The 14,422-nt window shown below is 43.3% G+C and overlaps 1 protein-coding gene across 10 annotated transcripts in view; it reads right to left on the bottom strand.

Annotated features, from left to right (window-relative positions):
- Positions 1–368: 368 nt before the first annotated feature.
- SNX27 (sorting nexin 27) overlaps positions 369–14,422 on the bottom strand; it is an 87,031-nt gene continuing 72,977 nt past the window's right edge. For 5 of the 10 annotated variants that reach the window (NM_030918.6, NM_001437604.1, NM_001437603.1 and 2 more), the window contains 4 exons: positions 6,865–7,014; positions 6,410–6,538; positions 5,966–6,025; positions 369–5,856 (listed from right to left, as the gene is read on the bottom strand). In NM_030918.6, coding sequence (NP_112180.4) covers positions 5,848–5,856; positions 5,966–6,025; positions 6,410–6,538; positions 6,865–7,014 — 348 coding nt within the window. In that variant the 3' untranslated portion in view covers positions 369–5,847. The remainder of the gene's footprint in view (positions 5,857–5,965; positions 6,026–6,409; positions 6,539–6,864; positions 7,015–14,422) is intronic. The other 5 variants (NM_001330723.2, NM_001437607.1, NM_001437602.1 and 2 more) reach the window with 1 other exon arrangement.

The raw sequence follows: 14,422 nt of genomic DNA, 5'->3' as shown, positions 1-14,422 counted from the left end.
ATCTGTACCAAAGGCTCTGCCAGGCTCTATCTGCATGGCAGAGAAAGGAATCCTGTGATTCTTCAAAGGATTTTTGTGCAAGCTTGCAGATGGGAGGGGTAAGCTCAATCACCTCTGAGATCTGAAGGAGAAGAAGGAATTTTCAAAGGAGCCACTGGGAAGAGAACTGCAAACCAAGGGCCTCCTGTGGCTTCTTTCCTCACCCTTCTCCATTCCCTGCACTCAAAAAACTGCCACACTAGTTACCTGGGAAAACTGGTTAGATGTTTCTTCTTTTCAGACTGACCACTCTGACTCAAATCTCAAAGGTCCCAGTTCACTTCTTCCCACACAACCCAAAGGATTTGTAGTCTAGGAAACCAAAGAAGTGTTTGATCAATAAATCAATTTATTTAAAAGAATATGTTACAATTAATTACACTAAGTGACATTACCAAACAATTTTAGAGTGGTTAGCTCTAGAACAAGGAATGAAAGAAACAATGTTAGCCATTATTGTGTCTGTGTATTTTCTCTTCACATTTCTTAAATCACAAATAAAAAATACAAGATACTGCAGTGAAAATACAATTAGAGTTTCTCTGAAATAAATTAAATGTGCATGGCCTGGGAAAAACTGAAGCCCAGCTCACTGGCTTAAAAGGGGGTCATGATATAAAATTAATGTCCAAGTTTAGCAGGCGGCCAAGTGCCCCCACCCCGTATCACTCCCCTCTTTGATTCTATTCCTTACCACAGCCCTGACCTTCCCACATACCCTAGATTATTGCTGAGGAGTGAGCTGATGCTGTCCTGGCAGCAAAGAGGCCTGGCGTGATGTGCTCAGGTTTAGGGGAACAGGAAGTCAAGAGGTGGACCTGGAAGATGGGGAGCTAGAGAAGCATACCCACTATCTCTCTTCTCCCTCCCTCTCTCTGAGTGTTCTATCACATCATCCTCCCAAAGGAAGCTACTGTGACACAATGAAGCTGGTGAAGAAACAGCAGTATGCTGGGGTCAACAGATCAAACAGCTTCTACTGCTGAATGAATCTAGCCAAACAGTATGATGGCGAGAAGGGAGAGCACAGCAGTCCCTCCTGGTCTGGAAAATTCAGGTCAACTAGGATGCAGTCCCCTTCAAGAAAACTACCTCCTAGGAGCCCAGCCCAGAAGTTGGCAAATTCTGAGATAGGAGAGAGTTTCATCTCCTGTCAGTGCCCTATTTTGCTGCTCCAAGTGCTGGGTTTGGAGCTACAGGAAGGGATAACCCAAAGCTACTGGCCTGGGTAACTAAAGGATGAAACTAAATGGGCCAGGCATGAGGATGTTGGAATATTTATCTAATTCCCCCCTGAGAGCTCAGTCCAGGCCTAGGAGCTGCCCTGAGCATGCACATATCTGTACCTGTGTTTAGGCCTAGGGTAAGGACGGGGTGGAAAAATGGAGAATAGAATAAACATATAAAGAGCAGAGGGCCCAAAGCATGGCCCAAGGGAACCTTTCTGCAGGGACAGGTTTCTCAGGGTCTACATTTTCTCCTGGGCCATAAAAAGCTCTGAGCTTCTACCCCTGAGGATAGAAACCAAGTGTGGAGGAAGGCCAGTGAGAGACCAGGAGGATCCTGCTGGTTCTGCTGGGATGAAGCTGGGGGCACTGGGAGACCCCCTCTTCCCAGGGACAAATTGCAAAAGAAGTCTGGGTAGAAGCCTCCCTGGGCAGAAGCTGGGACTAAGAAGAACAGTAGGGATTACAGAAAGGAAGTGCAGAGGAAGGGGAGAGAGAAGAGTCACAACACTGCTTCATGCAAAGAAGGGCTTGATCCTATGGGATCCACGCAGCCACAGGGAACCCGCCTCCATCACCCAAGGCCGTGCATGGGTGGAAGAGAAGAAGGCGCTGTCCTTTGGGGTGCCCTCCTTCCCCACCTCCTTGCTGCAGCTGGGTGCGTTGTTACTGGGACACTTTCAAAAGGGCTGTTCCTAAATAAATTCTGCCAACAGGCCAACTACCTATAGGGCCCTCACCTAATCTCCAAAGCACCAAGTGAATGCTATGCCAGAAAGGGAACATAACACCATCTACCCATTCTAAGGGGCCTCCAAATCCCTATGTCTCATGTCTGAAGGTCAGCATTCAAGCTGTCGCATGGAATCCCAGCTCTGTTCACTACTGTCCCACTCTGAGCGAGTAGGGGCAAATTGCTATTTTTACAGTTTGAACAAAGCTGGTGCCAAGTCTCTTTAGCATCTAGGAGTGGGAAATCAACATGTCTTCTTTTCAGGGTCCTTTGGCTCATTTTAAATTCATTTAAGTCAAAAGAAGTTAGTTCTGTGTCAAAGTCTTCAAATTAGGGATCCCTCTGCAACTTTACACATTCAGCATTCTCACGTTTTGTACTCTGTGATTTCACCTAGATTTGGAGAAGGTGAGGGAGGAAAGGCTGTCCTCTTTGATCCCATACCATGCAGGGGCAAATGGCTGCCAGCATAACAAAATAAGAAGGAAAGAAAGAAAAGTGGGCCAGGCGCAGTGGCTCACTCCTGTAATCCTAGCACTTTGGGAGGCCGAGGTGGGCAGATTACTTGAGGTCAGGAGTTCAAAACCAACCTGGCCATCATGGTGAAACCCCGCCCTACCAAAAATACAAAAAATTAGTGGGGCGTGGTGGTGTATGCCTGTAATCCCAGCTACTTGGGAGGCTGAGGCAGGAGAATCGCTTGAACCCAAGAGGCAGAGGGTGCAGTGAGCCGAGATCGTGCCACTGCACTCCAACCTGGGCGACAGAGCAAGACTCTGGGAAAAAAAAAAAAAAAAAACAGAAAAAAAGGAAGGAAGGAAGGGGAAAGAAAAGTGGCCTCACAATGATTTGCAACAACAAATTACAAAAAAGAGATGAAAGAAGGAAAGCAAAAGAAAGAAAGAGAAAGAAAGAAAGAAAGAAAGAACGAAAGAACGAAAGAACGAAAGAAAGAAAGAAAGAAAGAAAGAAAGAAAGAAAGAAAGAAAAAGTGGCCTCACAATGATTTGCAAAAACAAATTACAAAAAAGAGACTTTCCAACCACCCCAACACTGCTTAGTAGAATTGACTACAACCAATTATGACTGTCTCCCAGTTAGAGCAAAAGATGCCATCCTAGGAAGGTTTTTGTTTAGAAAGGGGAGAAGGGAAAAAGAAAAGGCTCAAAGATGTGTTTTAGTTGCATCTGAGCCTGACTTGGTGCTTCTTATGCATTATCTACAGAGCTTAGGGGCTGGGAATATTGTCCTACCCCAATTAGCCCTGGCTTCTGATCCTGGGATGCAGCTCTTAAGTCTCAAAGGGTCTAGCTGCAAGATCAGATGAGGAGCTCTTTAACGGACAGAAAGCAGAAAGGTTTTCGTTCAGTCTCCTTTCAATTAAAACTTGGGAGATCCAATCTAATCAACCATATTCCTACTACTCCTTCCTAGGTTCTCAGCTGGCTTGGATGGGGCTATCGTTTGGTTGGCACAGACCACTGACCCACTGCAAGTTTCCCCAAGGCCTTGAAGATACTATTGGATCCCTTCCCATCACTGCTGTTTAAGGAAGTCACAGAGAATGCCGTAGTTATGGGTGGTTATTGGTCAGGAATGGAGGAGGTAAAACCTCATGTACATAGGGCATTTCTTGCTTTCTTTCCTCTATGTAAGTCCAACCTGTGTGCCTAAGGTATCAGCTTAACTCTGGTCCTGAGTACTATCCCTGCTGCAAAAAAGGCAGGGAAGGACACAGTGGCTCATGCCTGTAATCCCAGCACTTTGGGAGGCTGAGACAAGAGGATCACCTGAGGCCAGGAGTTTGAGACCAGCCTGGGCAACATAGTGAGACCCTGTCTCTACAAAAAAATTTTAAGAAGAATTAGCCAGGTGTGGTGGTGCACACCTGTAGTCCCAGCTACTCAGGAGGGTGAGGCGGAAGGATCACCTGAGCCCAGAATTCAAGGTAACAGTGAGCTATGTTCATGCCACCACATTCCAGTCTGGGCGACAGAGTAAGACCCTGTCTCAGAAAAAAAAAAAAAAAAAAAAAAAAAAGGCAAGGAAAACAGGAAATTACTACCATGAAGTGTTTCAGGTTCAGGTTCCCATGGCATCAACCTCCTGAGCCAGGGTCGGTTGAGGGAAAGCATACCGAGGCTCTAGGAAAGCAGGAAGGAGGTGCAGAATGTGGCTAGAAAGCCAGGAGTGAGAGAAATAGATGGATCAAAAAAATTGTCACAGAATCAAGAGCCCATACCAGGACTTCAGGCTCTCCCTGCAGAACTACAGCCTGTTAACCTTGAGAAACACACCTCTTTCTCCTCCCCAGCACCCTCTTGGAAGATAAAGAAACTATACTCCTTGTTCCTAGACTCTATGGCAACCCATGAGCCGGAATCTATACTCAATACAAAAAAAGGGGCAAAAATCCAAGCAGGTTGTAAACTTTTCAAGTCCTTCATGAGGAGAGGTATTTTTCCCTGTAAAATGCTTTTTTTTCCTTTTTAAAGTTTGTTTCAAAAGAAAGAGAGCACGAGGGAGGTCATGGATTCTAGTGAAAGGTGTGTAAAAACACAAGCTAAAAAAGGTACTGCCATCAATATGAAATTTAAAAAGAAATATATATATGTATATACGTGCAGCTAATTTGTGTATATATAATTTTTACATACATACATATATATGTCTGAACAGTGCAAATGGATGAAGTTCATAGTTCCAGTTTTAAAAATATAGTACAAGGAGAGGCTGTTGGTATGAGGCCCAGGTGAAAGGACAAAGATACCTTTGGCAAGTTGGTTGGGCTTATTTCTTTTCCTGCCTTAACTCAGTTGACTTCTGGTGCTGACCGATCTGCTGTTCACTACCACCTCAATTCCAGAGACATGAAATTCAGAGGGGGTTATTAATAATATTTAGTTTAGGGCTTTTGAATATAACGACTTTAACTTTTTCTCTTCTTTTTTGTTAATGGTTACTCTGTCTGAAATGGGACATGAAAGGAGTAAGAGGATGGGGGTGAAGGGAAGGGAAGGGGATAAGGAAAGGCTAGGTGGCCACATCTCTCTGCTGTGACCTCGCCATCTGGAAAATGTTCTGAAAGGAAAAAAAAAAAGAGTTATTGGGAAGGCACATCTCCTCTTATCTGGAGACAACTCCACAAACAGAAGCTAAAAAGGTATGCCTGGATGACTCAATCTGATTGGCCACATCTTTCTTGATATAACTTCTCATCTAGAATCATAGCCTTTTAGAGCCGGAAGGGACCTTGGATATTAATTACGTGGTTCAGTCTTCCTGTTTCACAGAAGAGAAAACTGAAAGCTAGGGAGGCTGATTTACCCAAAATTACACAGAGGGAAAAAAAAGCCAGGAGAAAACCCAGATAAAATTCCCAGAGCCCAATGTTCTTTCTACTGTACTAAAATATAAATTTTCATGTTCTTGACTTGACCTCCTGATTCTTTCAAAGATTTTCTTTGAGAATAAGTAACTAATTATTCAGAATCTTCCAAATTCTGTTCCAGCACTGGCACATACAGACAGCAGTAAAGCAACAGCAAACACCTTCCCTCACACAAACATTCTTGGTTCGCCTAGAAAGACTGCCAGGACTCATCCAGTCAAGACGGCTACAACTGAGGACAGCTTCCCCTGTGGGTCAGGAACAACATGGAGGGTGATCTGATTTAAAAAACTGGCAGAGGAGGGTCCATGAAGTCATGAGAGATGGAAGAGCCTGTAGCCAATGTCCACCCTCTAGACAAGGGAAGAAGCAGGGCTTTTTTGCACAGCCCGTTCACCATCCAGAGGCCAACCTTGCTGGAAGAATGTCCTGGCTCACATGAGATAATCAGTCTCTAACTAATATTCCTAGAAAGACAGAGATGGAGGTGAGGGTCCCAGGTATTTGGCCACAGGCCTATAAATTTTAAAGAAACAAAAAGATGAAAAGGTCAATTCAAGGACTGTTCAGAATTACCTCTTTTCTCCACTTGAGCTCGCAGAACACCCTCTCGAAGCACTCATGCATGTAATTGAACTGAAAAAAAAGGTGGTGACACTCACTAACTTCTCAAGAGCAGGCATCTCAGGACTGTGCCTTTGAACTCCTGTCCCCAGTCATCCCATCTTCCAAACTCAGTCTAGAGAAAAACCCTGACAAGTACCATAAAACCCAGGCCTGGTTCATCCACTATTCTCTAGCTCCTTCTAGTGGTAACTACGAGCCAAGTGGGATAGGAAATTGCCAATTCCAGTCAGGCCTAAAGCAAAAACAGGATGAATCTGGGGGCTCCAGGATTCAAACAGGTTCGGATCTCAAGACAACTACTAGCTCTATCTCTCTCTCCATTTATGCATTTAGCTGAAAAAAAAAACAAAAAAACAAACTAAGTCCCAGTTACTTTCCCCAAATTGCACTCACATATGGCGTGAAGATTTTAACCCATCGGGGCTTCTTCTCTCCTCGTGCATATTCGAAACAGAAGGCCATCCCTTCTTCATCTGTGTCCCATCGCTGCATCTCATCCCATTCAAATGCAATTACCTGGTTCTGGACAACCAAGACAAGGGAGTAAGGTACAGTCTGTGTTTCAGAGTGCTGGGGAACTGAGGTAGGGGGTTCTGAACCAGGAGACAGAAGAGAAATGAATGGATGTCTGCATCGCTTCAGAGAAAGGACTGTGATAGAAGAATACAAATCAGTGGAAGCAGCCAATGAAGTTGAGGATCAGTGTGGATTCCATGCCTGTTTATTTGCCCCAGTCAAAATACAGTTTTGATTTCATTTCCCCCTAAAATGGAATTAAAACGTCACAAGCAAGTGAGCATCAAAGTATCTCCAGTCCTCGCAGCCAGAGCCCTATGCTGAAAACTCACCTCCAGCTGTCCTTCTTCAGTGCAGGCATGCAGTTTAAAGTGCGTGATGCTGATGGCTGTGATAACGTGCCCCTTCCTCCTGGAGTCACAGGCACAGTGGGGAAAGATGATTTCATTGTAGCCCTCACAAGTCCTTAGCATGTTGAGGTACTAAAAAAAAAAAAAAAAAAAAAAAAAAGGAAGGAGAAACAGGAAACAGGGTTACTATGGTATTAAACACAATAAAGAGCTATTGAGATGTGGTGCAAGAAAAAGAACAAAGAGTATTCTCACCCAACAACCTGAAGACCTGGCCTCTGGTCTCACACCCATCTCTAAGTTGGGAAAGGACTCTGAGACAATTCTTTTCTTTTTATTTTTTGAGACCAGGTCTTGCTCTGTCACTTAGGCTGGAGTGCAGTAGCATGATCTTGGCTCACTGAAACCTCAACCTCCAGGGCTCAAGCAATCCTCCCACCTTAGCCTCCAGTGATCCTCCTGCCTCAGCCTCCCAAGTAGCTGGGACCACAGGCACACACCACCATACCCAGCTAATTTTTTGATTTTCTATAGAGACAGGGTCTCCCTATGTTACGCACGCTGGTCTTGAACTCCTGGGCTCAACTAATCCTCCCACCTCAGCCACCGAAAGTGCAAGGGTTACAGGCATGAGCCACCGTGCCTGGCTAGCAATTCTTTATCCCACTTTCAACTTCTACTTTTTTTTGCCATAAGTAAGGAAACAACACCTTCATACTTCTAACCCTCCTTTCTCTACTTCAAAAAGATACAGGCCAGGCGCGGTGGCTCACGCCGGTAATCCCAACACTTTGAGAGGCCGAGGCGGGTGGATCACGAGGTCAGGAAATCAAGACCATCCTGGCTAACACAGTGAAACCCCGTCTCGATGGAGTGCAGTGGCATGACCATGTCTCACTGCAGCCTCAAATACCTAAAAATACAAAAAATTAGCCAAGCATGGTGGCACATGCCTGTAATTCCAGCTACTCGGAAGGCTGAGGCAGGAGAATCGCTTGAACCCAGGAGGCAGAGGTTGCAGTGAGCTGAGATTGCGCCACTGCACTCCAGCCTGGGAGACAGAGCAAGACTCTGTCTCAAGGAAAAAAAAAAAAAAAAAACCAGAAAAACAAAAAGATACACAGATGAAAACCAGAAGATATACTATAACCAGGACTCACAGGGCTAGAAGGGGTCTCACAATTCTGTTTAGTCTGATCCTCTATTTTCATTGTAATCAAGGGATGGGCATCTAATCTATCCTTACAATTAAGAAAGGGAGTAAATATTTCTCTTTTTCTTTTTTGAGACAGAGTCTGGCTCTGTCACCCAGGCCGGAGTGCAGTGGCACATCTCGGCTCACTGCAAGCTCCACCTCCTGGGTTCACGCTATTCTCCTACCTCAGCCTCCTGAGTAGCTGGGACTATAGGCACATACCACCTTCTATTTCACTTTCTCTTTTTTATTGTCCTTCCTAGATCAGTGATAAACATGGATACTGCTTAATCCTGCCATTGGCACTATAAACAAAATAAATCTCTGACTCCTATACTTTGGTAAATATGACAGGGGTGGGTGGTATAGAACAGAACTCTTCTGGGGTTATAATAAACAGCAATGCCTGAAACACAGAGGAGTGAGGAAGAGGCCCAGACTACCCTGGGCTTGAATCCTGGCCCCATTACTTCCATTACTTCCTAACTGTGCAACCTTGCGCAAGCTACTTTAAGGCAGGCAAATTACTTAATCCCAGGTGCCTCAGTTTCCTCTTCCATAAATGGGAAATAATAATAACATCTAAACCACAGTGTGATTTGTGAGCATTAAATACAGAGTATTTGGCTGGGCATGGTGGCTCACACTTGTAATCCCAACACTTTGGGAGGCTGAGGTGGGAGGATCACTTGAACCCAGGAGTTAGAGACCAGCCTAGGCAATATAGTGAAACCCCATCTCTATAAAAAAAAAAACAAAAAAAAAATTTGCCGGGCACCTGTAGTCCTAGCTACTTGGGAGGGTGAGGTGGGAGGATTGCTTGAGCCCAGGAGGTCAAGGCTATGATGGAACCACTGCACTCCAGCCTGGCTGAGACTGCACCACTGCAATCTCAAAATAAGTGACCTGTCTCAAAACAAGAAATAAAAATAAAAAAGATATTTAACATAGTACTCAGCCATAATTAGGCATTTAATAAATGACAGCTAAAAAAAAACTTTTAAAGTATCTGGAAATTACTTTTAAAAATCCCTGGGGTGAGCTTCAAGTCAGTGACAGTAAAACAAACAAACACACAAATCTCCTGAGGGGAAAAAAGCATGTGAGTGAGATAGAGGCAACATGAATGGCAGAAAGTCGAAGGCTATCGAAGCTGGGTAATGGATACAAGGGGATTAATTGTATTTTTCTTCCAACTTCTTTATGTATTTAAAAATTTATACAGCTGGGTGTGGTGGCTCATGCCTGTAATCCCAGCACTTTGGGAGGCCAAGGCAGGCAGATCACCTGAGGTCAGGAGTTCGAGACCAGCCTGGCCAACATGGTGAAACCCCATTTTTACTAAAAATACAAAAATTAGCCAGGCATAGTGGCATGCACCTGTAATCCCAGCTACATGAGAGGCTGAGGCAGAAGAATTGCTTGAACCTGGAAGGTGGAGGCTGCAGTGAGCCGGGATTGTGCCACCGCACTCCAGCCTGCCTGGGCAACAGACTGAGACTCCATCTCAAAAAAAAAAAAGTATATATAGATACAATAAAATGTTAAAAGAAAAAGAACACCCTAGCAACCAGGCCTCTGGCACTCAATCCAAGCCATCTTCCTAACATAGTCATCAGAAACTTTACATGCTCGATAAGCAGCAATTCTGCTCCAGGACACTTAACACCTCTGTAAATGCCAGTGGGTGTCGTTGACCCTTGAAACTAGTACTACTCATGTCCTTTAACAAAACAGGATTACATACAGCACATCTGTTGAGAGTTCTCTTCGTTGAGAGGTACCACTACTGTTTTGACAAATATTTCTGCCACAATCTCTAATTGGGACTTTTACTATAATAGATCTTTTAAAAAGAGAGAAGCATGCCGACAAAGGCAGGGATTTGGGAAAAGAGATCAGAAGAAGCGTGGAGCTCTGAGTACCTTAAACTCTCTCTTTGTGACCTTGAGTAAGTTATTCTACCTGGGGTCTTCTCTTCTGCCATCTGGAAATAAAAGACATTGCTGCTATCCTGTCTTCCCTGATGCAGGGAAAAATATATGCACTGGAGCCTGACAAAAATGGGTTCAAATCACATTTTCAAATTCTAGTTCCACTTCTGAGAAGCTACGTCATCTTAGGTAAGAATCTTAATCTCTCAGACTTCACTTCTCTGTAAAGTAAGAATAATACCTGCAGGGTTGTTATAAGGAGAAAATGAGACTTCATATAAAGTGCCTAGACCAGTCAGGCACATAATACATGCCCTGTCCGTCCCCTCTGAATCAAAAGACTAATTTATCCCTCCATATTCAAGAATGTAGTCCTTGAAAGCAAAAGACCTTCAGGGGACTTCTTAATGGCATAAGCTCTAAAAATAACCCAAGTGAAAACTAAGGGCACCTGTGCCCTTGGTGAGCCGATAAAGGTAAAGTCTCATTGGAAGACAAGGTTTTCAGAGAGCTCAGATTGGGCAGTATTTATCAGCATTAAGTGGGCAGTCTCTACATTCTTGGGCTTGCACAAAGCCTCAAAGAAGAAACATTTAAAACTTTACAGGAGAGGATCAGAAAAAACACCCAGGTAGTATCATGCTTACTACCTGGGTGACAAAATAATCTGTACACCAAACTCCCATGACATGCAGTTTATCTATGTAACAAATCTGCACGTGTCCCTAAACCTAAAATGAGTTACAAAAATTTATTTATATAAATCAAAAATTCGTAAAAACAGGTGAATTTTTTTTTTTTTTTTTGAGACAGAGTCTCACTCTGTTGCCCAGGCTGGAGTGCAGTGGCATGATCTCAGCTCACTGCAACCTCCGCCTCCCGGGTTCAAGCAATTCTCCTGCCTCAGCCTCCTGAGTAGCTGGGATTATAGGCGTGCACCCCCACACCCAGCAATTTTTTGTACTTTTAGTAGAGACGGGGTTTCACCATGCTGGCCAGGCTGGTCTCGAACTCCTGACCTCGTGATCTGCCTGCCTTGGCCTCCCAAAGTGCTGGGATTACAGGCGTAAGCCACCGCGCCTCGCTGAATTTTTGCTTTTAAGCATGTTTACATAAGGATATTTAAAAGGGTATTTGGTATTTAAAACACCAAATCATCCTGCCCATTCTCCTTTCAGGGACTTCCCACTTAAAGTTGACAAATACTACCCAACCTGAGTCTCTCTGACCACCCTGTCTCCCAGTGAGACTTTACTCTGTTGTCTCACCAAGGACACAGCTTCCCTTAGTTTTCACTTTAAGTTTTGAGTAACTATGTATCCCGAATTATCTTCCTTTATTCATGTATCATGTAGAAAGTGGCCCATTTAAGCCAGAGAATTGGACAGGTATAGTACAGGATATTTTATAAATGTTCAATATTCAGCAAGACAAATAAATACAGACATAGGGCAGTTTTTTTTTTTGTTTTTCGTTGTTTTTTTTTTTTTTTGAGACAGACTCCGCTCTGTCGCCCAGGCTGGAGTGAGCGGCGCGATCGCGGCTCACTGCAAGCTCCGCCTCCTGGGTTCACGCCATTCTCCTGCCCCAGTCTCCTGAGTAGCTGGGACTACAGGCGCCCGCCACCACGCCCGGCTAATTTTTTGTAGTTTTAGTCGAGACGAGGTTTCACCGTGTTAGCCAGGATGGTTTCGATCTCCTGACCTCATGATCGGCCCGCCTCGGCCTCCCAAAGTGCTGGGATTATAGGCGTGAGCCACCGCGCCAGGCCGACAGTTTTTAAAGCAGAGACTCAGTGTTTAACAGAGCAGAACACTTTAGGTGAATGGGTCAAGGTCCACTCCAGAGAACTCTCTGTTCTCCCAAACAACCTGCTAAGGGTCAAACCAGGTCCAAAATAGAAGTAAGGGACTGAGAGGAACTTCAAGAGCCAACTCTCCCAAAACCAGAATCAGAGTAGTGATTCTGAAGCACCTAACGTTCCAGAATCACCAGTGTGCTTTTTAAAAATAAAGTTCCCTAGGTCCTACCCCCAGAGATTCTGGCTTAGTAAATGTGGGGTGGAGTCTAGAAATCTGCATTTTAAGCAGCTTCAAAAGTGTCTTCCATGTAAGTAGACTGGAGACCACACTTTGAGAAAAACTGACATACATGCTGCCTTGTGTGAAATCAATACAAATTATGTAGAGAAACACAAAAGCTCTTTATTTATCTGTTCAACAAGGGCAAAATCAGGCCACTTCAACATAAGAAAAGCATAATTTACACATGTCTACTGTTTGTGTGAGGAGACAGAAAGGGAGGGAGGGAGGAAGGAAGAGAAGAGAAAACATTGTTTCTTGTATATTATATTCTCAACCATCCAAATTTGAGATTCAGTCTAACTTTGTAAGTAAGTAAAAAACAAAAATGTTTTTGATCACACTGGGTATTATAAACTATGCACAGACGTGAGCTCTCTTCTGTATTTGAAGATTTGGAGGACAGGGGAACTTACACAAAGCTTATTTATCTTCCAAGAATCTTGGTGTATTTTGTCAAGATTCTACTTAATAGCTGATAATCGGAATATCCCCATTTTACAGAAAAGAAACTAAAACTGAGAAGTTCATTGTGTTGCTGCAGTTCTCACAGTGATGTGACAACTACTAATTGTAGTGACCTGGCCTAATCGTAGGCCTGTTCACCACACTTAGTTGCTATGGTTAATGGCATCAGGGCCTATGGGCTCAGAAGGCCCATGTGAGAAGTTTCAATGTATTGACCATGACCTAATATTGGCTAGGCTAATGCCTTTGAACACTGATACTTGAATACATATTATACTCATAAAATTCAAACTTTGATGAGCCTTTCTTCAAAATCTGACTATCATATCATGTGGCTAGTACACAGAAATATGTTGGCACTAGGTTTTCAAGACAATCTAATTCCACAAATGTTTAAGCATATTTTATACACAATGGCAAAAGACCATGGGGAAACATATCTGTCTATCAACTATACTTGAGTTTTTACCTGGGTGATTACAAAATATAAACAAGTCTAAAAATGACTTCATAATAGATTACTGTGTTTATTAAATTCAGATTTTCTATATTTTGCCACAGCACAATGCAAACCTATGTATTTCTCTCACACCTTGCACTGTGCCTGGCACGTACTTGGTACTCAACAAATATGTTTTGTTGAATACATAGATGGAAAGATAGTGTGTTTGGAATACTATAAATGCAAAGAAACAGTATGTATTCCACACTGGTATTATCAGAAGACCTTATGAAATTATTTTGACTCTATTAACTTTTCAGAAACAAGAAAACTCTGTTGGCTTTAGCAAAGGCAAAGGATTACTGCAGAAGTTGATGGCCTGTTAGTATTTGGCCCTTTTCACCAAAAAGATGCAAATGTATTGGTCAGAATCATGCATTAATATATAGAAGACAATGCCATTATCTTAAAGAACAGGTGGAAGTCGTGTTTTAAAATTCTGTCTCACACATAGCAAAATTCTCCTAACCAAAATTCTGCCAAGATTTAATTACATTTAAAAGATTTTGCATTTTCTATGTCAGCCTGCTGATACGTAGAACATTGGTAAGGTGGCTCCCTGATCTTCGGCAATTTTCTAAGGTATAGAGATTTATTACTTTTCATCACATAAATGATTAAAATAACTAACTTAGCTAGATATAAGATTACAGGCTAAGTTCAATGGCTGACTGGTTTGCATTTTTTGTTGTTGTTGTTGTTGTTGAGACGGAGTCTCACTGTGTTTTCCAGGCTGAAGTGCAGTGTTGCAATCTCGGCTCACTGCAACCTCCGCCTCCCGGGTTCAAGCGATTCTCTGGCCTCAGCCTCCTGAGTAGCAGGGATTACAGGCACATGCTACCACGCCCAGCTACTTTTTGCATTTTTAGTACAGATGGGGTTTCACCATGTTGGCCAGGCTGGTCTCGAACTCCTGGCCTCAGGTGATCCACCCGCCTCAGCCTCCCAAAGTGCTGTGATTACAGGTGTGAGCCACCGTGCCCCGCAGCTGTTTGCATTCTTATTCCAACCCAATTAATGTACATGAATCAATATTCTCTCCTGAAAAGTACACAGAAGGTACAAAAGAATTCAAATGACCTATCAGAATCACTACTAAAGAATGAAAATGATACAGATGGTCACTAACTTACAATGGTTAACTTAATGCTTTTTTGACTTTATGATGGTGTGAAAACAATGTGTGTGCAGTAGACATTGTACTTCAATTTTTTTTTTAACTTTTCTGCTGTCTTTACAAGTACCTCAAATTTTTGTTCAAAACTTTAAATAACTTTAGGCCTGGCACGGTAGCTTACGCCTGTAATTCCAGCACTTTGGGAGGCTGAGGCAAGCGGTTCACTCAAGGTCTGGAGTTCGA

Source organism: Homo sapiens, chromosome 1 (genome assembly GCF_000001405.40).
Source record: "Homo sapiens chromosome 1, GRCh38.p14 Primary Assembly".
NCBI lineage: Eukaryota > Metazoa > Chordata > Mammalia > Primates > Hominidae > Homo > Homo sapiens.
The sequence above is the reverse complement of the archived record's forward strand: the minus strand, read 5'-3'. Positions and strand labels throughout refer to the sequence as shown.